Source organism: Homo sapiens, chromosome 5, assembly GCF_000001405.40.
Source record: "Homo sapiens chromosome 5, GRCh38.p14 Primary Assembly".
NCBI classification, from domain to species: domain Eukaryota; kingdom Metazoa; phylum Chordata; class Mammalia; order Primates; family Hominidae; genus Homo; species Homo sapiens.
The window spans coordinates 167,873,935-167,898,951 of record NC_000005.10 but is presented as its reverse complement, the minus strand read 5'-3'; the positions used below and the strand labels follow the sequence as shown (position 1 = coordinate 167,898,951).

The following is a 25,017-nucleotide window of genomic DNA, read 5'->3' as shown; positions in this document are numbered from 1 at the left end:
ATATGACCATCGAGCCAATCCACGCCTTTTCAGATTCAAATTTATTTCCCATCCCCCGCTCAAACGAAGATCTCCTTCCCTCCCAATCCCCATTCTTGCTTTTCCTAAGAAGGGCTCATCACACTAGCCATGCTCAAGAACTCAAAGCTATCTTTGACTCCTCCTTCTCATTTCCCTCCACATTCATCCAGCCTATGGCTCTCTACCTTCTTTCCTGATGAAGTCCCTGGCAACTCCTATACCCAGTGACTTAGCCTTAGGCAAGGTTCTCCTTAATGCTGAGAGCCTGGTTTAGGTCTTGCAGTAATCAACTAAATATCTGTACATCTCCAGTCTCTCTCCCCCAGCTCCTCTTACACTTGCTTCCATATGAACTCTTTCTCAAGAGCATCTGGGCAGCTTTTAAACACTGTGGTGTCCAGGCTGCTGCCTGGCCCTATTACATCAGAGTTTCTGGGTTGGCATCCCGGCATTTACATTGTTTCAAACTCCTGAGGTGATTCCAGTGACTGGCCTAGGCTGCCAATTTAAGCTTAAAGGGATAGCTAAGCAAGTCCAAGCTACTAGATCAGTGCTTCTCAGACGTTAGCATATATTAGACTCATTGGAAAGCTGGTTAAACCACAGCTTTATGGGCCCCACCCCTAGAATTTCCAATTCCCTAGGTCCAGGGAAAGGAGAGAGGTAGAGTGCTGAGGACTTGCATTTCTAACTAGTTTCCAGGAGCTGGTGATGTTGTTTGTCTGTGAGGACCAAAATTTGAGAACCATAGCAGTAAATTATTCTCTCTATTGGCAACATCCAAAGGTGGTTTATGGAGAGGAAAACCACATTTCATTAGGTTTGAGTAAACTAAGGAGTCCTAAGCAATGCTATAGCAAAGGGCTCTTCAATGACAAACCCAGATCAGCAGGAGGTAGGGGGAAGTCATGTCTTCTGTGTGCAAATCTCTTGCCTCTCCAATCACTTTGCCCACCACGAAGGGGCTGGAGTTCATGCTGCTTCCAATGTTTAAGGTAGTACCCGGTGCCCAGCAGATGCAAAAAAAAAAAAAAAAAAAACAATTTACTACGGATTACCCAACTGAAATTCCCAGGCTCATAAACTTAGTTCTCTGTTTCGTTCTCTCCATACCATCCTACCTATATCTACCTACTTAGCTATCAATCTATATATCTATATATCTGTATATCTTTCTTCTAAAATAAGGACCCTTTGACAAACCTGAGGCAGCCCTCACAAATGAGGCAAAGACTGTGGGTGCCAATGAGACTATGGCTGGAATATCCCATTACTGGGAAAAATGCGGTTTCTCTTCCTTCATTTCATTTAGATTTTAAAGGTAATTGTGACCTGGCAGGCAGATAAGTCTGTATTCAACATCTCCTGACAGGGATCATTGTAAATAGCATCCTTTATTCTCCAGGGTGTATAGCAAGAAAGGAAGATGATGAATACAAGCTGGAATGGGGTTTATAAATCTTTTTAAGACCTGATTTTTTCCTACTTTTTCTAAGCATCTGTGTTACAACCAGCTCTTTAGCTAATATTGTTTTTGTGCCAAAAAGAAAAGTTTACCAGGGCTGTCTTGATTGTGAGCACTTTATAATTACAAGAGAAGGACAAGTCTCTGAATTCTGAGCAGGAGGGAAAAAAAAAAGGTACCAGTTCAGCTAATGGCACAAATGAGACTTAAGAGCCAAATGAAAGAGTAGAAATAGTGCGGGTCCTCATTGCTTGCTAAATTGGAGGAAAAATCCTACAAAGCTAAACTAAACCAGCTCATCAGTCAGCCCTTACTCATATTCTAAAAGTGTGGATTAATCAGGAAGCGAGGGGAGAATGGAACAGGGCTTCTGCCTCCCATTCTTTGATGCGTGATAGAATGATGAGCCTCACATTATAAGCCTTTCTGCCATCGTAGACCAACCGAGTTAAGCTCATTTCGGGTGGTTATAAAGATTCATGCAGCAATTATTTAGAGGCTTGCACATGCACTCTTTAATCAGGCTGGGGAAACGCACATGCTAGCTATTTTCTGGACGTTTTAGCAACGAGGAAAAAGCAAGCGTGATTCTAAAGGCAATTCCTCTCTAACAGCTTTCGGAGTTTCCACTTCCCAGCTTCTATCCTGGCACTCTTTGAGGTGACTAAGAGAACCATCTGTAAAAATATCCATAAAGGTATTGCGAGGTTGATAATGGCACCTGCTTTGCTTCCCATCTTTGACTCTTTTACCAGAGTTATCATAAATGGAGTGACCTTTCCCTCTTTGCTGTTCCAGGACTTCTTCCTATGTCTCCGTGCTTTTTAATAAGGGCACATTTCCACCTTTGTATTGGATTTTAGATTGTAAATGTTTTATTTCTCTTCCTAGAGGACAGATTCAGTGTTTCAATCCTCTTTGTACCGCCCTCATCAGCCAGTAGGGTTGCAAAGTTATTTATGAAAGGAATGCATGCCTGAAGAATGGTTGGAAGCCACATGTCTCAACCATGAGTTCTCTTAAACATTGCTCTGACTTTTGTGTATAATCCACGGAAGGCAGACAAGGGCCTTCACAGCCAGATTCCAGCCTCAATCCAGTCATTCCCCTCTGCTAACCTAAATCTGGACACATCTGTGTGCTAGTCTTTCCTTTAGCTATTCAAGCTTTCCCCAAAGGCCCCATGTTTTCTCGTCTCTCCAAGCCTTTGCACTTGCTGCTGGCATTTCCTAAAATCCTCCACCCCAGCTGACTACTGATCATGATTAGGATGCCAATCAGGTGCCATCTCTGTGGGAAGGCTTTCCCCAGTCCCAGCTCTAGCCCAGGTGGGGAGGGCCGCGATGTGCCATGCTGGCACTGGGTCGACATCTATCAGACTGCCTGACCTGCTGACTCACAACCATCTGTTTGCTTTTGTTCTTCTTAAAGCTTCATCCACCTCATGCTGCCATTAACTAGACTAAAGTACCCTTAAGGCCAAGTACCTGGTCTTAGTTATCTCAGATTTCCTGTATGTTGCATAACGTCTATAACAGTAGATGCTCAATAAACATTTGTGGAATTGAAATGAATTGTTGAGCTCCCTGTTATCTAGTTCTCTGCATTAACAAAGGCAGTATAAACTAATTGAAAAAGTCTTCAGCTTCTTAAGCTTCTAATAACATTATTGCAAAGATCATTAAACAGGAATCGCAGGGCTTTAAGTCAATGGTTCTCAAAATGTGGGCCCCAGGCCAGAGAAACAGGCATCACCTGGGAGCCTGCTAGAAATGCAAATTTTTGGATCCCAACTCAGACATAGTGAATTAAATAAATCTGGCATAGGGTCCAGGAGTTTGTATTTTATAAGCTTTGTATGTATTTGAGAGTGAGAACCTCTGTTTTAATTAATTAGAAGTAATATTTTGCGAAGTAGTACATAGCAGTGAGAAGATCAAAGCCATTGGAATCAAGCAGCAATGGTTCAAATCGTAGCTGCTGTGCTTGATTTGATGGTTACATGCATTTGGTCAAGTTAGCTAAACTCTGTGAGGCTCATTTCCTTCATTAATGAAAGGACGAGAACCAAAGCAAGTGACAAACTTAAAATGCCTAGTACAGTGCCTAGGGCACAGAAAATGCTCAGCAGATGGTGGTTCCTACTTTATTGTTTCCCAAAATGTATGCCATCAAAGATTAGTCTCAAAAGTACTCTGAGAAAGAAGAAGGAAGGAGAGGAGGAAGAGGAGAAGAGGAGGAGGGGGAGAGGAAGAGGAGGAGGGAGAGGAGGAGGAAAAATGCTCTCTGGTCAAATAACTTTGAGAAGTAAAGCCTCTATTCTAATAGAAAGTCTCAGTTCACATAAACATGTTAAAGGCCCTGAGAAGTTTTACGACTCTGTTTTTCTTAAGCTTTGTTTAATTCAGTCTTTTCTAAGTTTTCCGTCCTCCCTGCCTCCCTCCCTCCCTCCCTCCCTTCCTTCCTTCCTTCCCTCCTTCCTTCCTTCCTTCCTTCCTTCCTTCCTTCCTTCCTTCCTTCCTTCCTTCCTTCCTTCCTTCCTTCTTTCCAGGGTGAGTAGAAGAGGCAACCTCTTAGCTTCTAGTAAGTTACGAGAATAAAACAAAAGAAACATTTTCACCTTTGTTTTGAGTTTTTGGTTGTTTGCTTTTTAATTGGAGTTTGGGAAGAAGAAAAACCTCAGTAATTTTTAAGTTAAATATACAATAGTAACATTAAATATTTGCAAAATATGCACAATAATTTGTCAACCATCCAACAGATATTTATGGAGTGCATACTAAGTGCAGGGCACTGTTGGGTGTTGAGGATACTGAAAGGGAGGAGGGGAACAAATTTGGATGGGGCAGGGGTATCCAAGGAATGATATTTGAGTATAGTGAATGACCATACCAGCCATGGAAAGATAGGGGGAAAGATTCTGGGCAGATGGAACAGGAAGTACAAGGCTGTCAGAGGAAAGAGTTTGGATGTTTCCAAAGAATGCAAAGAAGTCTAGTCACAGAGTGGGGAGAGAAAAGGAGAATGGAAGGAGCTGAAGTTATGAATGTTAGCCTGTGGCCAAATCACATCACACTAGCCACAATAAACGATCTGGGTTTTATTCTAAGGGCAATGAAAAAACATTTTATTAAACGTGCTGGTTTGGCCTGATTGTTAGGTATGAGAACCTTGCCCTATACTCTGTATCTTCACTGGTAATACCCAGAAACTTCAAAGACCAAAAGAGGGAAGTATTTTTTCTCCATTCATCATCTATCCATCCATCCATCCATCCATCCATCATCTGTGATTTTTGATGTGCCAGGAATGGTGCTTACTGGGTAACAAAGATACAAAGATAAATAAGAAAGCTTCTGCCCTCAAGGAATTGATCGTCTATTAAACTTCTTGAACTGTGAAAGAGGTTTGGTAGATGCATAAATGATTATGCTGCCGCATTGGACTACCTTGCTATATTTTTCTAGGACTCATTATTCATAATGGGACTGTATCTTTGGATGGAAAAACGACTGCAGTATTTTTATTACTGACTACATAAAATGCATGATTTTACCGTATTCAAGAGCACGTTAGGCATAATTGCTTGGATCTTAAATTTGTATGAAGCGCAGGAACTAGGGTAATAAGAAATCAAGGCTGACACACCAAACTTAGTTCCTCTGTCACCCATAAGACCTAATCTTGCTTAAGGGTGCATCCCATACTTGAATGATTGTCCTACTATGTAGTTTTAAAAGCGTTTGGAAATTATCTCTTCTTTATTTCATTAAGCAACATTCTTTCTCCCTCTAACACGTTCTTGAAATGCCTCTTACTAAAAAAAAAAAAACAACAAAAAAACCTTTTTTGTTTGTTTCCTGTGGCAACGGAAAAAAAGAAAATACAAGAAAATACTAGCAACGAAGCATATGCCAAGGTAATTTAAGAGTTGTGATAAGCCAAAAGGAAAAGATAAACAGCCCCCAGAAACTCACAGAGTTAAAGAGGTTGTTCCTTTTTAAAGAAGTCTAATTGGACACAGCAGGGGTCTTGATACGTGCGCCTCGTTGTTTTATGAGAGGAATTTTCTACTACAATATAGGAAGTTAAAGTCTGCTCAACTTGTCTGACGCTGATTTGCTCACATCTGTCATCCAACCTTGAACTGGTCTGACCAATTTTGGAGGGAGTAAGACCATGGAAATATGCATATTTAAACCCAGAACATGAAGGATGTGAATTGTTTTTAATGGTCTACCAACTCTTTGGCCTGAATAGCTATGGAGTTACCATCCTGTCTGAAATTTCCCTTATTTATCACAGACAGGAATTTCTGAGCAGCCCAAACCCAGTTACTTACAGGAGGTGCCGATGAAGAATAAAAAGACCTCAGGACAAGAAGAAACCTAGCCAAAAGGTAATACTCTCCCTCCACATTGCCGCCAGCAAAATCTCAGAGTTAATGTCAGTCATAATGAGTTAATCAGGACAAAGGTTCTGAGTTCTGTGGGGAAGAGTGCTGATTCCACTGTTCATGTGGGATGTTATTGCTATTAATAAACAATCATGATAACTTGCATGTCCACTTCTCATTGTGCAATGGAGAGGTATTTTTTTCCACACATTATCTTGAAGTATAATTATCTCTGTGTTATAAATGGTGAAACTAAAACACAGAGAAGTTAATTAAAGAACTTGCCCAGGGTAACAATAGTCCAAATGGGGAAGGGAATAAGGCATAGACTTTGGAGCTCTTAAGAGAGGGTTTTTGCAGAACTATAATCGAGGCAAAATGAGGGCATGGGCTTCCAACTTTTCCCCAAGCCTACTAAGTACACACTTTTCAAGCTGCTTTGCTAAGCTTGACCTCTGAAACTTATGTGGTTTTGAAAATGGAAACACTCCTATCCCTAAGCAGCTGCACAGTGGATTCTGGATGGCATATGCCATGCCATTCTGTGTAAGCTCTCCCCTCATGATCTATGCTTTGCTATACACCTTGACAATGAAGAGTGCTACATTTTTGGTTCTCCACCCAAGAGAGGAAAACCACTCCTCTGCCTAGAGGCCCTGTTAAAGTTTGGTTGCATTGTAACATGGGAATGTTTCTTAGAAGACTGACCTAATTTGATTCAGGTTGTGCAAAACTTACTACTCTAGGCCTGCATATGAGTTGGGCACATATCTTCCATGTATTTATAAGGAACTGTATTTGACTTATAAGAACCTATGTGCTACAGATCATCCATTCTGGAAAATAATTTTTTCAAGTTTAATTTTCCTGGAATTAGAAGCTTTATGAATAATGTGTACGTTTAATGTAGCACTTCTCTTTTCTTCTCATGAAATGTTGTAATTCAGTCCATAATGTGCTTACAATGCTATATTACAATCAAGAATATGTTATATCACAAGCTCCTTTCAAGTACTTGCAGCATCTGACAACAGAATACAATAAAATATAAATAGAGTTTGCTTAGCATAGGAAATTTCACTTTGTAAAAGTTGGAATCTTTTCCAAAGCAAGCTACAACTCAATCAAGTCCAGGAAGTCTCTGGGTTATTCTGGAAAAGAGGATCTCATGCTGAGCCTGTGCTGCTGTGAGGAAGTGGGCAAGTCAAGGCCAGCAAGGTCTCAGAACTCATCAGTGTCAAACAGAATGCCAGAAGGAAGCCAAGGACCTGGCTCAGATGCGATGATAGATCTTCAGACCCAGGCAATGCCCAGCACCTGTGACATGGTGGACACATGATAGGTGTTTAATCAAAATATGCTGACAGTCCACAGCTTCTGAGTACCAACCTCAGAGCCAGAGGTGAGGTGATCTCCCATGCTGTATACTCCCGTGTCAAACATAAAAACAGTAACAAAAACTTGAGTTTGAATTCTGCTTGTAACTCCCTTAGCACTGATCTTAGTGGGTCAGCATAAGCCCCAGCTATGTAATAAGGATATTGGGTCCAGGATCCCTAAAACTCACCTGACCTTTTCATGGCCCACTTAAGCTTTCCTTCCTCCTAATTGTATGTACTTGTTAAGAAGTCCAGCTAGGAAAGCACTGAAATGAAGAGTAATTGTAATCAGGAGGCTGAGGCAGGAGAATCACTTCAACTGGGAAGGCTGAGGCTGCAGTGAGTGGAGGTTGCACCACTGCACTCCAGCCTGTGTGACAGAGGGAGACTCTGTCTCAAACAAAGAAACAAACAAAAAAGAGAGTAATTGTGCAAAGGAACCACAAAATTTGTCTATTAGCAGTTACAACTGTACTTGGTAAACAAATACATCATTGAGAGTAGAGGTTAGAGGTACCTATCTATCTATATATCTTCATGTAACACAAAATAAGTAAACAACCTATTTTTTTTAAATACATGTGAATAGGTAGACCAAGTCCTACAAAACATAGAGTACATTAAGAAAATTTAAAAAGACCTTGATAGTGGAAAGTTTGAGATCATTAGACTAAATATGGTCCACCAGTAAGTCACTTGAAATTTTTATCCCTCAAATGGATTATCTGTTAAGTAGAGATAATAATACCTTCTACATCTTCCTCACCAGATGGTTGTAGTGGGGATTTAAATAGGTAATACACATGATAGTGTTTCCTAAAAGTAAAGATGGTGTGCCAACATGGAGATGGAGATTATTGTTAATGACATTAGCAGTGGTAACATCATCATCATTATCATTATCATCATCATTGATGCCAACAAGCTAGATAACTGAGATTGAAGATACAAATGCTACAAAGGCCATGCAAATCTCATACATGAATAAATTAAAAGATCATGCCTGATCTCAAACGGGCAGTCTCTACTGGACTCTAGTGATTTGTGGCCATGACATAATGCAGGTAGGTATTACTAGGCATGTTATTATTTCAGGAAGGATAGAATTATGAATGTTTATGTACGTCTCTTGGTTTTTCAACATTGTCACCTAAATAAAGCATAATTTTAAAAATAATACCAAGCAGGACAAATCAAACTGGTTTGCAAGCTCCTTTGACCAAGGGTCAGATGTTTGCAACCTAAAGGAAAGGACATGATCTTGTTCCTTGAAATAGAAAATATTACACAAACATAAGTGATGATGATTATTATTTAATATCATTATCATCACCAATCCAGAAAGGGGCAACAGCTTTAGTTTCCTCCCTTTGGGAGGAAAAAGTTGTTTCTGTGTGTTTTTAAAGAGAGGCGACAGATTCGGCGACTCAGCACATCATTGGAAGTGGAATAATGTGTCGTGCCTAGTTCTCAGTCTTTTCCTAGAATCATGATATTTGAAAGTTGGAAAAGAACTTTCAAAACATCTGACTCAAAGCCTCCCAACACTACAAAAGACAAAACAGAGGGCCCAAGAGGAGAAGGGTCTGCCCAGGGGACACCGTGAGTTTTGGGTAGAATTAGGACTCAGACGGATTCTCTGGCTGCCACCATATCAGGGCCGTTTCTTTCTTCACCATGGTTTCCTTTCTTTGTTTCACAGATTCTTTTTATCTTCTGAACCCTTTCAGCAATTTGAGATCAATAAAGAGCGGCAGAAAAGGCCAAGTCTGCCTAGTGTAATATGACTTTTTCCCCTCCCTGTGAATTATTTTCACAACAGATCCTCCATCTTTTATATTCTAACCAGTTTTTAGTCTTCACGAGAAGGCACGCAGGTTAGCAAAAGAAATCAGAAACCCAGCATCCTAATGTCGTAAACAGGTGGTGTCCCAGCCTATCTCTTTTCATCTTTAAAAGCAAATTGCTTGAACTGAGCTGTAAGACCACGAGAAGAACCCACAGAGAAAGAGGGAGAGTCACAAACTGGTAAAGATCACTGCTCCCACAGGAACAAAATCGCTGATAGGAATGTATCAAAGACAGTGGTTACTACAGGAAGAGCGACATGTAAAGCAATATTCTAAGCAGACAGAGTGAAAGGGGGGTGGGTAATGGTCAGGCTCCCCAGGGAGATGCAAAAGGTCATTGAGATGAAAATAACCTTGGGAACTGGGAACGAGTGCTCCATTACCACAGACGGGAAGAAAACACGGTATCCAATCAGATGGAACAGATTGAAATGCGATCCTAGTCAAGTGTGAATGCCACCAATTGCATCGTGGAATTATTCGGGGAGCTGGCATGCAGGAAGATAGTCCTGTCCCACAGCCCTCCGTCCACAGTGGACATCAACACAATTCAAAAGCAGAGGTTTGCAAGGTTATAACTTACGCAAAGGCATCTTTGTAAATTCTAAGTGAGGGTGAGGGGTGGGAAGTCGCAATAAAGATAAATTTGGGGGTCATTTTCTATGGGGAAACTGTTCTGCTGAAGTGTTAAAAAGGTGCTCTATCATCAGTTTAGTTTTTTTGTTTTTGTGTGGTTTTTTTGTTTGTTTTGTTTTGTTTTTTAAAGCAAAGAGATGTGAAGTCTGCCTTTGGAGTGGAAGAGAGAAAAGAAGAACGATTGATCACTGCATTTTATTGTTAGCTTCCCATGGTTGAGTGTTCACTGATAGAATTGGTTCAACTCCAAGATGCTGTCTTAGAAACAATTACTGTTTTCCACTAAAATATAACTCTAGCAGAAAACATTAATTTAAGTGATAACCGCCTAAATGCTTCAGTATCAAGAATGCATGTGCCCCCTCATCTTTGGCTTTATAAACACCAGAAAGGAATAAGGATAATAAGCAACAGAAATCGTAAAACAAAAGATCTGATGGAAATGACAAAAGAGAGAGCTGGTATTGGCCCTGGGGGAATCAAAGGAAAGGCCTGAGCTAGAATTTTAAAGCACCACACAAAACAGTTTTTCTATGTTTAACTAGTTTATTTGGATTCTAGAGTTTAAATATTAACTACATTGGTTTTCTCTGTTTGCTTCTGGCTTTCTTTGCCATTCATGTTGCACTATGCCATCATCCAGAAATGCCTTCTTCATTCTCTGTCTCTCCTACTGCAGATAGAGGGAGCCAGCATGTGAGAAAGGGTCTGCCTCCACTTTTTTTTTGGACCATTCTTTGGATATTGCAAATACCCTCTGCATACCTTTCCTCCATCCTTTGACTGCATGCACTATTTGTTAATTCACCTAATATTTATTGAGCACCTGCTATGTGCCAGGCTCAGTGGTAGCTAAATGCATAGAACGAAATGAGACACAAGGGAAACAGGGTGCTTGCCTTCAAAGAACTTAAATCTAATGGTGAATGCAGTCAACGAGCATGGTGGGTTCAATAATAGAGAAGACATAGGGAGCTATTTCTAGTTGCTCTATCCTGCTGAGTATTCAATTGGATTCTGTTGTGGGCTGAATTGTGTTTCCCCAAAAGATATGAAGTCCTGACTCTTGATAGCTGGGAATGTGACCTTATTTGGATCTTGTGAAGTTATTTGCAGACTTAATTCAAATAAATTTATCCACAATTATGACGAGCCCTAAATTCAATAATTGGTATCCCTATAAGGAGAGAGAGTTAGAGACCGACAGACACACGCAGGGAGAAGAGGGCCATTAGAAGGTGGAGGCAGGGACTGGAGTTATGCTGCCACAACCAAAGAATGCTAAGGGTTGCTGGCAGCTACCACAAGCTAGAAGAGGCAAGGAAGGACTCTTCCCTAGGGCATTTGGAAGGAGCATGGTTTGGAACTTGTAGCCTCTAGAACTGTGACAGAATAATATTCAGTTGTTTTCAGCCACCTAGTTCGTGGTACTTTGTTAGGGCAGCTCCAGCAAATGAATCCATACACTAAGCGCATGCATTCCCTAGGATTGTAGCTGTACCCTACAAAACATTTATCAATGAAAGCAACTATTTCCAAGGCAACATCAACTCAGGACAGCAGCTACTAAACAAATGAAGAAAGAACTGTTATTTTGGATTCACACCTCTCTGTCCTTCCCAAGGAAGACGCAGGTTAGACAAACACACTTCTTTTCTCATCATGCCCTGTGGTATTTTTTCTGTTCTTTCTAAATGTGATCACATCCACAATCACAGATGGTCTCAGATCTAAAAATGTTACAGTGACCTGCAGTCAACAGGCCCAAATCTGAAGGACTGGGTGGGGGCTGCTGCCACCTTTTTGTTGCCCCACTCTAACATTGTCCTTCTTAAGGTAGATCAATAAGGATCTAGCTCTTGAGCGTATCTCTACCTGCACCATGTGCTAAGGGACACAAAAAGACCAAAGAAATGACCCTTGTCTTTAAGTGGTGACAATTTAATGTTGACACAAGTGACTTACATGCATGAAATGCCAAGAGAATATTACAAATCAGAATGCAATGAGGTGCTAAATTGAATAAGGCAGACTATAAAGCTGTTCTGTAATTCTGAAAAAGGGAAGTTCTAGTTGGGCAGTGTTGGTTGGGAAAGCTCTGAGGAAATGATGGTACCTGTGCTTAGATGGACACTGGATTAGAAATGAGGAGGAATAGTAGTCATGATATCTTCTCTGTTCTCATGCCATCCTAAGCTGTGTTGGGAAAAAGAGCTAAAGCCCCAACAACTCCACAGGGCTCCCTAATCAACAGAGGCAGATACAGACCCATCTGTGGGTTTGACGCAAGTGCTCCAATGCCTAACTACTGAGGTTCACAGCACCTGATGTCATTTCAAACACATCGGCCCTGATCAATACATACTTGTTGAATAAAATATATTTGAGAGAAGTAAACAGCTACTATTTTGGGGTTTTAACATTGTACTAAGTGTTTTGCCTGCCCAATCTCATGTAAATGTTTTCTTTTCATCAGAAGAAAAAAGTGCACATGGTTTAAAGAATTAAATCGTTCTATAACGTTCAGTTCAAAAATAGCAATCTTCTTCTATCACCGCCAATTTCTTCCTTCCCAGCAGCAACCACATTTACCTTTTTATAGCTAATTATTTTGGTATTTATCTCCAGTTCTATAAATAACATGCTTTGCTGCTATTTCTTGCATTTTCCATTTTATTTAGTAACTTCTTGCATTATCTTGTAACTTCTTACTATAAAAGATGCAGGTCTTGGCTTTTTCCTCTATCTGCCCAGCCCACATATCCTCTCATCCTTCTGATTTAATAGCTAAGTCATTATTCAATGTTTACATTACTGTGGCCATGTAAATGCTATTCAGAGCTGGGCCATGCGGTAAATGATGACTACATTTTATTTCTTGAATATATATATTTTTTCTGGAATTGTCTTTTAAAAATTCACTTAAATTTCTATATATCACTCTGGAGACCAGTTTCTTTGGGTCAAGTTCTTGTACTGCTTAATAACTATGTATCCTATGGCAAATTACTTAACCTCACTGTGCCACAGTTTTCCCACCTGTACAACAGGGATAATAATCCCAATTCACAGCTTAATGGTGTCCATGTCCTCTAGCCAAAACACCACCAGGCAGGAGCACACTGTGGCCAAACACAGTTGATTAACTCATTGCTATGAGGGAGAAGACACACAAGGGGAGCCAGAAGGGAGCTTCAGTAAGAATGTTAGAAAGGGCTTGTGGGCTGGGTGCAGTGGCTCATGCCTGTAATCCCAGCACTTTGGGAGGCCGAGGCGAGTGGATCACCTGAGGTCAGGAGTTTGAGGCCAGCCTGTCCAACATGGTGAAAACAGTCTCTACTAAAAATGCAAAAATTAGCTGGGCGTGGTGGCACATACCTGTAATCCCAGCTACTCATGAGGCTGAGGCAGGAGAATTACCTGAGCCTGGGAGACGGAGGTTGCAGTGAGCCAAGACCATGCCATTGCACTCTAGCCTGGCCAACAGAGCGAGACTCCATCTCAAAAACAAAACAAAAAACCAGTAATCACCCATTTTAGCCTAGAGAGAAGGGTGTTTTGTATTTTTGTTTTTTGGACAGTGACTTTGGTTTTGTCTGTATTGGGGCAAGATCATGGTGTGGTCTTCTTGTCATCTTATTTCATGTCACCACAGCCATGGAGTGGCCTCGTGCTTGGGTTCTGTAAAATTGTTTATGTTCAGTAGGAGAACACTACAACCTAGTTGTGAGTGACAAGCCAGCTCCTAATGCACCTAAGCCTAGATGTTATTGTCAGGTCTGTTCCCAGAATCAAGAGCTGCTTTTCACTTTCTCAGTGGTGAGGATTAAATGAATTACCATTTGTAAAAATTTAGAACAATGGCTGCCATAGAATAAGCCTTTAACAGTATTTGTTGCATGACACCAAAAGCATAGACAACAAAAGTAAAAATAGATATACTGGACCACACCAAGATTAAAAACTTTTACACATCAAAGGACACCATCAAAGAATGAAAAGACAACCTATGCAATAGGATAAAATATTTGCAAATCACCTATCTGATAAGCAATTGGTATCCAGAATATATAAAGAATTCCTACAACTCAACAATATCAACAAAAAACAAATGATCTGATTAAAAATTAGGCAAAGGACTTGAATAGACGTTTCTTCAAAGAAGATATAAAAACAGGCAATAAGCACATGAAAAGAACTAATCATTAGAGAAATGCAAATCAAAACCATGAAGAAATACCATTTCACACCAATAGGATAGCTATTATCAAAAACACAGAAGGTAACAAGTATTGGAGAAGATGTAGAGTGACTGGAGCCCTTGTGTATTGCTGGTGGGAATGTACAGTGGTACAGACACTGTACAAAACAGCATGTCAAATCTTTAAAAAATTAAGTATAGAATTACTGTATGATTCAATGATTCCACTTTTGGTTATACATCCAAAAGAGGTCAAAGCAAGTGCTCAAACAATTATTTGTACACCAATATTCCTAGCAGCATTATTCACAATAGACAAAAGGTAGAAACCACCGAAGTGTCTAGTAAGGGAGGAGTGAATAAACAAAATGTGGTATATAAGGAAAATTGAATAGTTTTCAGCTTTAAAAGGAAGAAAATTCTGTCCTGTAGAATTACATGCTACAACATGGATGAAACTTGAAGACATTATGCTAAGTGAAATAAATCCATCACAAAAGGACAAGTACTGTGTGATTCCATTGATATGAGGTACCTAGACACAAATTCATAGAGACAGAAATAAAATAGTGGTTGCCAGGGGCTGAGGGAAAGCGAGTTAGTGTTTAATGGGTATAGAGTTTCTGTTGAGGAAGATGAATATGTTTTAGAGGTGGATGGTGGTGATGGTTGCATAACAATGTGAACATACTTAAAGCCATAGAACTCTACACTTAAAAATAGTATAAATGGTAAATTTCATGTTATATATATTTGCCCACAATAGAACATTGTTTGTTAAATTAGGAAACAAGTACTCTCAAACCCAATCATTGCTTCAATTGTCTAAGCCTCTTTTAACGGTATTTAGATGTATCGGAATGTCATTTAAATGTTTATAACAGCTTTAGGACTTGTAGACACTTATTGTTGTTTTACAGACAAAAATACTGAGATATAGATTAAGTAAGTTGCTCAAGATTATAGTGTTAGAAAGTGGCTGAGCTATCATTTGAAAGCATGTAGTATGGACGTCAGAGTCCACACTCTTCATGATTATTTTGGGTATGGGTCTAAGAGATGTACCCAGGGCTGGGGCTATAATTTCTGTTGAAACTACCCACTGCTAAAATAATGAAATCCTTTGATTCAACCCAAGAATTGAGACATCCCTAACAAGGGACTGGGGACACTTTTAAAAATTACTATTGAATATTACGCAGGAAGCTAGTTAGAATTGAATGTACTCTTTAAGTGAATTTGCGAGAAGCTGAAGTTCTGGGTAAAAATTACTAGGGCACGAAACTGTTAAGATATCACTTGTAGTTCCCAGTCTCTGGGCTTGCCTAGGACATCTTTTTATATGTACCAAGAAGCCAGGGACAGAAATGGAGAGGTAGAATGTACACAATGCCTATCGACCCTGAGAATTTTGTCAATATCAAGATTATTTGCTGAGAAAGAGCAGTTCTCTGCCGTCTGTCACTTCCATGCTGTGCATCTCCAAAGGAATTACCTGTCCATCTTGATTGTGTGCTCATTTGCACCATGGTGCAGAAGAGTGGTCCTGACCCTAGTTGGGCTGGAAATTGCTGGACCTACAAACTACACATTTACGTGTGTGTGTGTGTGCGTGTGCACACACGTGCACATGTGCAGTATTTGTCTGTTTCAAGAAGGCACAAAGGAAAAGAAGGAAAAGTCTGATCTCTATTTGGTACATTGCTAGGCAAGTTAACAATGCCGAGAGAGTCCTGAGGACTATTTGTTCCCAATTATTGAGGTGGGAGACCTTGTTTAGGAGGCCAGGGTGAGGGTCTTTGGGAGCCCAGGTTTGTGTTGGTGGAGCTGTACTTTCTCTCCTTGATGGGATTGCCATCAACATTTTCAGCCAAGTGTTATAGCATACCAAAACCACTCTTCTCAACTTTTGCATGTAAGTTACAAGGATCTGCTTTGCATGACTGTGTAGGCCTTAGTTTTGACAATGTCCCAGATATTGGGATGAAATCCACACTATACAGAGGAGGAGTTGGGGAGCCTCTAACATTGGGACAGCTTGGTCCAGCCAGATGCAAGGAGCTTACAGAGACAGAATACTAGAACAAGAAGAAAGCTTAGAGGCCTTTTAAGCCAATGCTCAATCTAATCAGATAGGGAAACTGAGGTTCATGGTGATTGATATGGTTTGGCTGTGTTCCCACTCAAAATCTCATCTTGAATTGTAATTCCCATAATCCCCACATGTCAAGGGTGGTACTAGGTGGAGGTAATTGGATCACTGGGCAGTTTCCCCCATGCTGTTCTCATGATAGTGAGTGAGTCTCATGAGATCTGATGGTTTTATAGGCATCTGGCATTACCCCTGTTTGCACTTCTCCTTCCTGCTGCTTTGTGAAGAAGGTGCTGTTCTTCCCCTTCACCTTCCGCCATGATTGTACGTTTCCTTAGGCCTTTCCAGCCATGCAGAACTGTGAGTCAATTAAACTTCTTCCCTTTATAAATTACCCAGTGTCGGGTGTTTCTTCATAGCAGTGTGAGAACAGACTAATACAATGATTGAATGACTTGACAAAAATCATGCTGTGAATCAGGAGCAGTGTGAAGAAAACTCAAGTTTTCCAACTTTCACTTTAGAGCTTCCCACTACATTAATGGTTCCAAGACTTGTCAGAGCACATGCTTCACCTGAAGGGAATGGTAAATGCAGAGTTCCTTAGCCCCTCCTGAGCTTAGGGAATCAGAATCTCCAGGGGAAGTGTCTGGGGATATGTGTGTTTGCCAAACAGTGGGCGTAAAGGGTATTTTGTGATGCTGTATTTCGTTTTAAGAAATCTTTAAAAAATTGTAACCCATGCCCTTTAATACAACGCTTTCACTGTCTGTTGTATATCTCAATCAGCCAAACAAATATTCTGAGGTTAACAGTTAACAGAGGAGTGAGGAGAAAAGTCTCTGCAATTAGGAAGGTTAAGGTTGAAGCCGAAATCCTTCACTTTCCAGCTTTGTGACTTTCGTACATTACTTAACCTCTTTGTGCCGTGGTTTTGTCATCTAGAAAATGGGTATGATGATAATCCTTCATGCATTGGGAGGTGGCAGGGACTAAATACAAGTACATGAAGAAAGTCATGTAAAGTACTTAGCATACTAACTAGAGTTGAGGGAGAAAAAGGGCCATGAGCTGATAGCCCAAGTCCTGTGTGGCTCTGCATTTGGGGCAAGAGGGATGGCTGTTTCTGTGACCTCCACAGCAAAGATAACATGCTGGACTTAGCCTGTACTACCCAGTGGGACAAGAACCTGTCCAGAAGAGAGGCAGCTGGAACCAAACCTCTGCCTGGATGCCAGGAAGGAGCCGCAGGTAGCTCTGAATGTCTGAACCAGACATCCAAGGGACTTGGGGAAGAACCTGGAGTCAAAGTGGCTTATGTGCGGTACAAATCCAACTTGGGAAAGTGAATGATGTTTGCACTTGATATCCTGACCCCAAAATCAAGAGTGAAAAATAAAGGTGGTTACTATAGACACTCATTCATTTATTTAACAAATACTTACGGAGTGTCTACTATGAATCTGTCACCAGAGAAACTGCAGTGGAGGTCCCTGAAGAACGGAGTGAAGCTGGGAGGAGGAAGAAAAGCTGATAAAGAGCACAATAAGAAGTTACAATGCAGAACATTAGGAGAAGTGGGATAAACAACCACAGGATGTACAATGGCTTTTGTAGAAAAGAGCAAGATAGTATTATCAGCACTGTACAATCATCAATGTGCATAATAACTGCTGTGAGCTATTCAGGGAATCCTAAATTAAATTAAATTACAATGTGCATAATCTGCTTAGGGAGGCAAGAAAATTTACAATATCTCAGAGAAAAATTTCTTTCTAAAACCTAAGATATATAAGGAGAAGAAGTTTCATTAAGTTAAAAATATTGACTTCTTCCTCATCCCAAATCCATCTCCATGGATGGATATTAGGGGCCAGATGAGTGAGGGAGGCTGTCCTGAAGTTTTCATGAGAGGATGTCAATTCTAACCTCTATGAGGCTGTCAGGACGAATCTGTAACACAGAACATCTGCTTTTCAGGTCCTGAATGGTGACTTTAACCTCAAAGTCTGCTAATTCCCATAAAAATTCAGTTATGAGCAATGACATTTGAGGTCTATTGCCTATAGGGCATGCAATTTACATGGTCCTTTATAAGAACTAAGGTTTTTCTATTGATCAAGTCAAGTTTTGCCCTTGGACTGTGCAAATATTGGACATTTGTAGAATTGTTTTTACATGGAAAGTGCGCTCTATGTCTTATTTAAGGGAGGTTACAAGGAATTTTGACAGGAAATTAGCATATGTATTATATGATGTTACTAAGAATCCAGTCATCTGGATACACACATGAGCTCCTTTATGACAAACTTCTTTCTGGCCTCATTGTGAGGATTCCCAGAATTTCCCTGAAATGACTGATTTGCTTTTATCTCATGGGGTATTATGCATCTTCTTTTCCCTATGTTTCCCTTTTTGCTTTGGTTGCTAGGAAGCTTAAAATCAAGTTCTCTATCTTAAATAATGGAATAGGACTTTATACATTTGAGCATATATGTATACTTTCTCCCTTAAATTTTTCCTTTACCTTTATTGTATCATCTAATTATAGCTGAAAAAAATTTTTTTTAACAACTGTTGGCCAGGGGTGATGGCTCATACTTATAATCCTACCACTTTGGGAGGCTGAGGCGGGTGGGTCATTTGAGGCCAGGAGTTCGAGACCAGCCTGGCCAACATGGTGAAACCCCATTTCTACTAAAAATACAAAAATTAGCCAAGTATGGTGGTGTGCACCTGTAATCCCAGCTACTAGGGAGGCTGAGGCATGAGAATCACTTGAACCTGGGGGGCGGAGGTTGCAGTGAGCCAAGATCACGCCACTCCAGCCTGGATCAGCAAGACTTTGTCTCAAAAATAAAAAAAGTAACGATTTTTATAAGCTGTTACATATTATGAGGGAGGTGCAAAAAAGGAATGAATGAATGAATCTCATTTGTTTTATGATGCCAGATAAATTAGACAGGCAACTTATTGATCCTAGGCAACCCCAAAGCCTGCTGATTTTGATATACTATTTTCATTTAGAATTAACTAAGGCATTGCTCTTTAAAAAGGGTTAGGGCACCCTTCATGTGCTCAGTTACAAACAGAGACTCTCTGACTGGGACAGCTCTTTTGCCACATAAGATCTACCAAGATGTCCTAGCTAGGGCATCTTGGTTACTACATTTCTTATGTGTATAGTTTGATGCTACTAATGAGTGTTCAAAGCCCCTTTATTTAAACTTTAAAAAAAACCTCAATGTTTCACAGGTAGAGGAAAGCCAGTGCTTTTAGAAGATAATGTGGTTGCCTGTATATTTTCTGCATCATATGCTGAGAGCAAACTGCAAACCCTATTCTGATTTGGAAGGTAGTCTCATTCTTCCATCTGCAGGGGCCTCCATTATGCTGCTGCTGGGATCTAGATTTTTTTTCCAGATGAGTTATTCCATAGGATTTGAAATTATGCTTCTGTATACAAGAAACATATCTGGAGCAACCCGCTCTGGCAGAAGGTCAGAACACAGAATGAGCCACTCGCTGGAGCTCAGCTATTTGAAAGAAAATGCTTAAGGGGGAGAGAAACACCACTCCCGTAAACATCTCACTAACTGTACCTGGGTATCTACTTGATTGGCATAGATTGAGGGTTAGAGCAATTTGACTCCAAAGGTGGCAAGGTTTTAGTACCATTCACTAAAGAATGCACCACTGTCATAGAAAATAATGACACTCAAGCCATAAAGGTGAAGCTTTGTTGTTGCTTTGAGGAGTTTTTCATGTTGGGGAAAAACATTTTCGTTCCTGTAGTTTATGTCCCATTTGTTTCTATAGAACAGGTGCTCCTCGGGAAGGAATTGTGTACTGTGACCCTCCTAATGATGGGCTTCACCAACATCAAATAATAACAGCAACTATAAGAGGAGAGCAGGAAATAATGTTTTACTGTCGTGTATGGGCTGATGTGTTGGAAAGTGTTTTATTTCACCTAAGAAAGAGACAAAGACCAAAGTAGTACCAGATTCTCAGAACACAGGGTTATTGCCAAGAGACAAATTTAAAAAATTCTGTGTAATTAACCAACTAAACACAACACACCCAAACACAAGGCCACTTTGTTTGTGCTGTGACACCTCCTGAAAAATTCAGCCCCTTTTATCAGACTCAGTTCAAAACACTCAGACATAGCTCTGCACTTTGCATCTTCCGTGTCAAACTCAATTTTCAATCCTTTATGTCAAATTTAAATTCATGACAACTGCATTCAAATCTTGATAGAATCCCCAATTTGCCCTGGACCTTAAACCCATTCCACAAGAAACACACACACACACACACACACACACACACACAGACGTGAGCACACGCATACTCGAACTCGATTTGCTCTCATTTTAGCTAAGCCAGAGTCCAGAATTTCTAATGACTGCCTGTTGACCGGAGCTTTAACAAACTCTCTGATAATAAGTACCTGCTGAAAACAAGGGTATTGCACAATTGGGCCTTCACTCCCTCAGTTGAAGAAATCATATCAGCACAGCTCCTGTTTGGGATGAAAATGGACCCTTAAATTTTCTGTGGCATTTTCTCCTGTTACTAAAGCTTAAATTGCTATCAGTCTTAAGTGAGCTGAACAAATTGGTGTGAGTGACGAAAAATGGACAAGTTTGACTCTGAACACACAGATCTGTTGTGTCCACCAAAATGAGGTCTTGATTAGGCATAAAGCTGACATAAATACCCTATCAACAAGTTTCAATCTGATACACTGTCCAAAAGAAAGGAAATCACTTACTGCATTATTGCTAAGAAAACATTCCAGATGGCCTCAAGATATGAACTGACCTCTCTTATGGAAATCATCATTGCCTGGGTATCCATATATGCATAAAAGGATATAGTTTTTAAAAGCTCATTTTATCCCTAATAATTGTCTGTTTTTAAAAAGCTATCAGCAGGTGCACCTCATTTCAAAAGCCTCTTGTCCTTCATAATACAATATTCATCACGATTACATAGTATGAAATAAAAAGCAGCAAAACATAAGCGAAGGTAGTTCAATTAAATGCAACATAATCTCTGCAGCAAAAAAAGGGCTCTGTAGCTAAAATCAGGTTCTGATGAAAGTAAAAAGGGAATATATTTCCACATATTTTTAATTATATAGAATTTCCTCAAACATGATTTTTCATAATATATTCCATTAAGTTAACATCATATTTGAAGAAAGAGCATTTTCCGATTTCATTTTAAGCCTGATTTTGAGCAATTACAGTGTCATTGTTCCGCGGTAGAAAGGTTGAATTCATTTACTGTGTGGTTATGCTAGTTATGATTGATGTCTCTTCTCCAAATGATAAACCAATCACCCCAATGATGTAATGTCATTTTAAGAGTGCCATAATCACATTTCTCTCAAACTAGAAGCTCTGATGAGTTCTAATAAAGATTTATGGTAGATTAAAGGCCTTCATAATATCAACAATGGATTGCTCATCTGATGAGAGATTTGATTAGGTAATTTTTTTTGAAAAAGAATATGAGTTTACTAAATATATCAGGCCTGGCTATGAAGAAGGGCATGGGCCATCCTAAGTAGCAGTCCATCATTCCATTTCCAGAATGAGTCATCTTAAATGTATTTGGGAGGTCCTCTCTAATTGTAGAGGTTGAGGCCAGTGGTGGGTGGCATATACTCCTGGATGGAGCCTAAACACAATCGCATCAAGACCCACTCTCGGCATGGAAAGCTCTGTATTGCTTTGGATGGGATATGCTAATTAACCTCATGACTGACCAGTTCAGAAGATAACTCCCAAGCCTTTAGGTCAGGAGTAATTAATTTTTGCAAATGTCTCTCCCTGGGCCATGGACACTTATACTCTAGTTATTGCCCGTTCCTACGTTCAGATGTTCACAGGAACATAACACCAACAGGAGAAATCAAAATAAGGCATGATTATCGCTGGGCCCAGGGCAATTCCACCCAAGATTCAGAGATTGGGAGCTAAGACAGTGGCCACAAAATCTTCAAAAGTGGGACAGGATCTTGGGTCCAGTTTCCCTGTTCCATGAATGAGAAAACCAAAATAAGAACTATGGATTTAGAGGCAGTATTTACCATAGTACCACACCACCAACTTGTCAAATTCTAGTGAGGTCACAAGCAAAGGGTTACAGGAGAGGTCACCCCCCAAACACTTCAGACTTGGCAAGACATTCAGTACTGATGTCAACGGAACACATTGTAATTTCAAAATCATCTAAACAAGCAAGGAATAGAAGTTAAAAGCCAAAACAAACAAACAAACAAACAACAACAAGAAAACAAAAAACAAACCAGGGATCTGAGATACACACAAATTGGGCCTGTGAGGGTGTCCAGGGTCACTCAGCTATGACCAGAACCATAGTAATACAAAATTCAATATGCCGGTGTCTCTCTGCACTTCACCTTTGAGACCAGCATGCTCACACATGTAGCAATGGGCAAATGCCTTCCACTGAAGGAGGCCCAAATCCTGTTAAGATAAGCAAAACCTCTTAAGTAACTTCAACCTTCTACAGATGTATCTTGAAAATACCATGCCACAAAATGACAAATGCATTTCACCCTGATGCTCCCCACACCACCTTCCCCCAGCCCTTGTTTCAGCATTGTCATTTTGGTGGAGAATCAAGAATGTCACTCACGAAACACCACACATTCAGACACCACGGAGTTTCCTTACCACTGCTGGAGGCTTGCTGGGGCCCTGAGCATGCTCTGAGCAGGTATGAATTGGGGGAGAATTCCTCATCAGGGTTGGTGTCCATGATTTGATGGGAGGTGTTGCTGTCTAGCAATGGCATCTGGCAGCTAACTGGTGGAGGATTATGGGAGCTAGGCAGCTGAGCAGATGGGAGGAGACTAGGCGAGGATGTAGGTGGAATGGGACGACCTGGGAAAGAGGACAGAGGGGTCAAAGGTCAGCAATGAGTGTCACGAGAGCACCCCAAGAAAGTTACATTGAAACCAGCTCACAATATAAATATTAAAAAAAAAAAAAAAGAAATGAACTGCTCCAGATGTGCTTTTTTAAAAGAGTGGTTTGATGTTTCTCCAAAAGTCTAAATTCATATTTTAGGTAGTTGCATATTTCAGAAAAAGGACATGAGCAGAAATATCCATGTACACAGCTCAAATGGAATCAGTCTAGCAACCATCCAGTTTCTTTTACCTCCTCTGCTACAGTCCTAATCTAAGTCCTCATTATCTCTCTCTGAGCTACCTCCTTGCTGGTCTCACTGCTTCCATTCTTGCCACATAATCCATCTACTCCCCATTGTCCCAGTCCTACCTCCACAGCAGCCAGAATGAAATTTTAAGGTGAGGAATCAGATTGTATCATTCGCCCGCTTAGCACACTCCAGTGACTTCCCAATGCTTGCAGAAGGAAACCCAAACTCCTTATGATGACCTACCTGTCTTGAGTACTCCAGCCCATAGCTGCCTCTCCTACCTCACTCTCATAGTAACACTTACGACTTTCCACGTGGCCCCTTATTCTCTAGCCAATATGGTCATCTTTATTTCTGTTGTTTGAACACACCAAGCCATTCCACCTTCAGAGTCTTCACACTTCCTGTCCCCTCCATGCAGGACACCACCCCCAACCCCCAACTACAACACCTTGCCAACATTCACAATCTCACTTCTTCTCTTCAATCAACCCTTCCATGTTTGTCTTCTTGAAATTTGCCCATCTGCCTGCTCTAGGCAACTACTCTGCTTACATTTCTTCATGGCCCTTACTACTCTTTGAATGCAGGCATCTTGTTTATTTTATTCACCCCCTGCATCACCAATGCCTTCCTAAAGAATCGCATCTGCTGAATGAATGACCAAAAATAAGGTACTCTAAAACTAGACTCATTAGTTTGAGGTAGAAGTGGAAGAGTGATGGAAAGGGTGATGCATTGGCATCCCAAAGAGTTGGCCAATGTCCCCACCCTCTTCATTATGTGGTTTTTGGGACACCATAACTGTGGTTTTCGGACAAAGAAAAGCACAGACTCTCTAGCCTTGAGGAGGAGCAGCCAGTCCGGCAGAAGGTGCTCAGTGACATGGAGCGGCCCTTGGGTCAAGAAGTTGTCCTCCCACACAGAGGCTGCTGCATCCTCTCCTTCACATGGCAGGGAGCTCCTGGCAGCCAAATTGCTGGGTGAGGACAATCACCACCTATACTTTTGCCTGCTTCATCCTTCCATCTTGGGGCCTTTGCAGTTGCTTGCCTGCTGGTTTGCTCATTTGGGAAGTTCAGGAAAATGAGCCAAGAGAAGCAACCCATGGCACATGTCCTAAATCTGGGGGTGTGGAAGGAAGGACAGAACATTGAGAAAGCAAACTTGAGGACAAGGTGAGTGTTGCAATGCAAGTAAGAAGTACCTGAGACAGAAGAAATGTGTGTTCCTGCTTTTAGATGTACTGCTGATGTAGAGACATCAGCAGACACCTCAAATCAATGTCCATTTTTATTGTTGCTTTTATAATTGTATTTTCTGATTCATTATTCAGTGAATTTAATGCTATTTATGGGTTCATTTGGTTCAATAAAATGTATCTGCACTTCGCTAGACATTGAGGATACAAAAATAAGTAAGACACCACCCCTGCCCTCAGAGAGCTTATAGTCTAGTGGGAGACAGACAGGTAAATGTGTCATTTCAGTGCCACATGATAAAAAGCAGAATAGCGGCATGTAATGACGTGGTGCTGTGGGGACAGAGAAAAGAGACACTTGTTTCAGCCTGGCCAGGTAGGAGTTGGGGTTTAGAGTCAAATAAGGATTCCTGGGAAAGGTGATACCTGAGCAAACGTCCAAAGAGGAAGAAAGTGACTTCTGGAGAGAGAAAACAGGATGAACAGCAGCAGAGGCATCAAACCACTGGCCCATTACCCTTTGAGGATGGGGGTGGCAGAGATAGGAGATGAGATACTCTTAAAGCTTAA

The 25,017-nt window shown here is 40.7% G+C and overlaps 1 protein-coding gene across 30 annotated transcripts in view, besides 1 other annotated feature; it reads right to left on the bottom strand.

Moving 5' to 3' along the window:
* TENM2 (teneurin transmembrane protein 2) overlaps positions 1-25,017 on the bottom strand; it is a 1,285,129-nt gene that overhangs the window by 365,206 nt on the left and 894,906 nt on the right. For 27 of the 30 annotated variants that reach the window (XM_047417418.1, NM_001395460.1, XM_017009661.2 and 24 more), the window contains one exon: positions 22,757-22,966. The exons of the other annotated variants lie outside the window; for them this stretch is intronic. In XM_047417418.1, the coding sequence (XP_047273374.1) occupies positions 22,757-22,966 (210 nt within the window). The remainder of the gene's footprint in view (positions 1-22,756; positions 22,967-25,017) is intronic. 30 annotated transcript variants of the gene reach the window in all.
* Positions 12,790-13,027: a silencer, noted in NCBI's record as "fragment chr5:167312930-167313167 (GRCh37/hg19 assembly coordinates)". NCBI's record gives its function as "represses an EF-1alpha promoter that drives an FKBP-Casp9 reporter gene in an ReSE screen in phorbol 12-myristate 13-acetate-treated (for megakaryocytic differentiation) K562 erythroleukemia cells {active_cell/tissue: K562(+PMA)}" and the evidence as "EXISTENCE:reporter gene assay evidence [ECO:0000049][PMID:32094911]".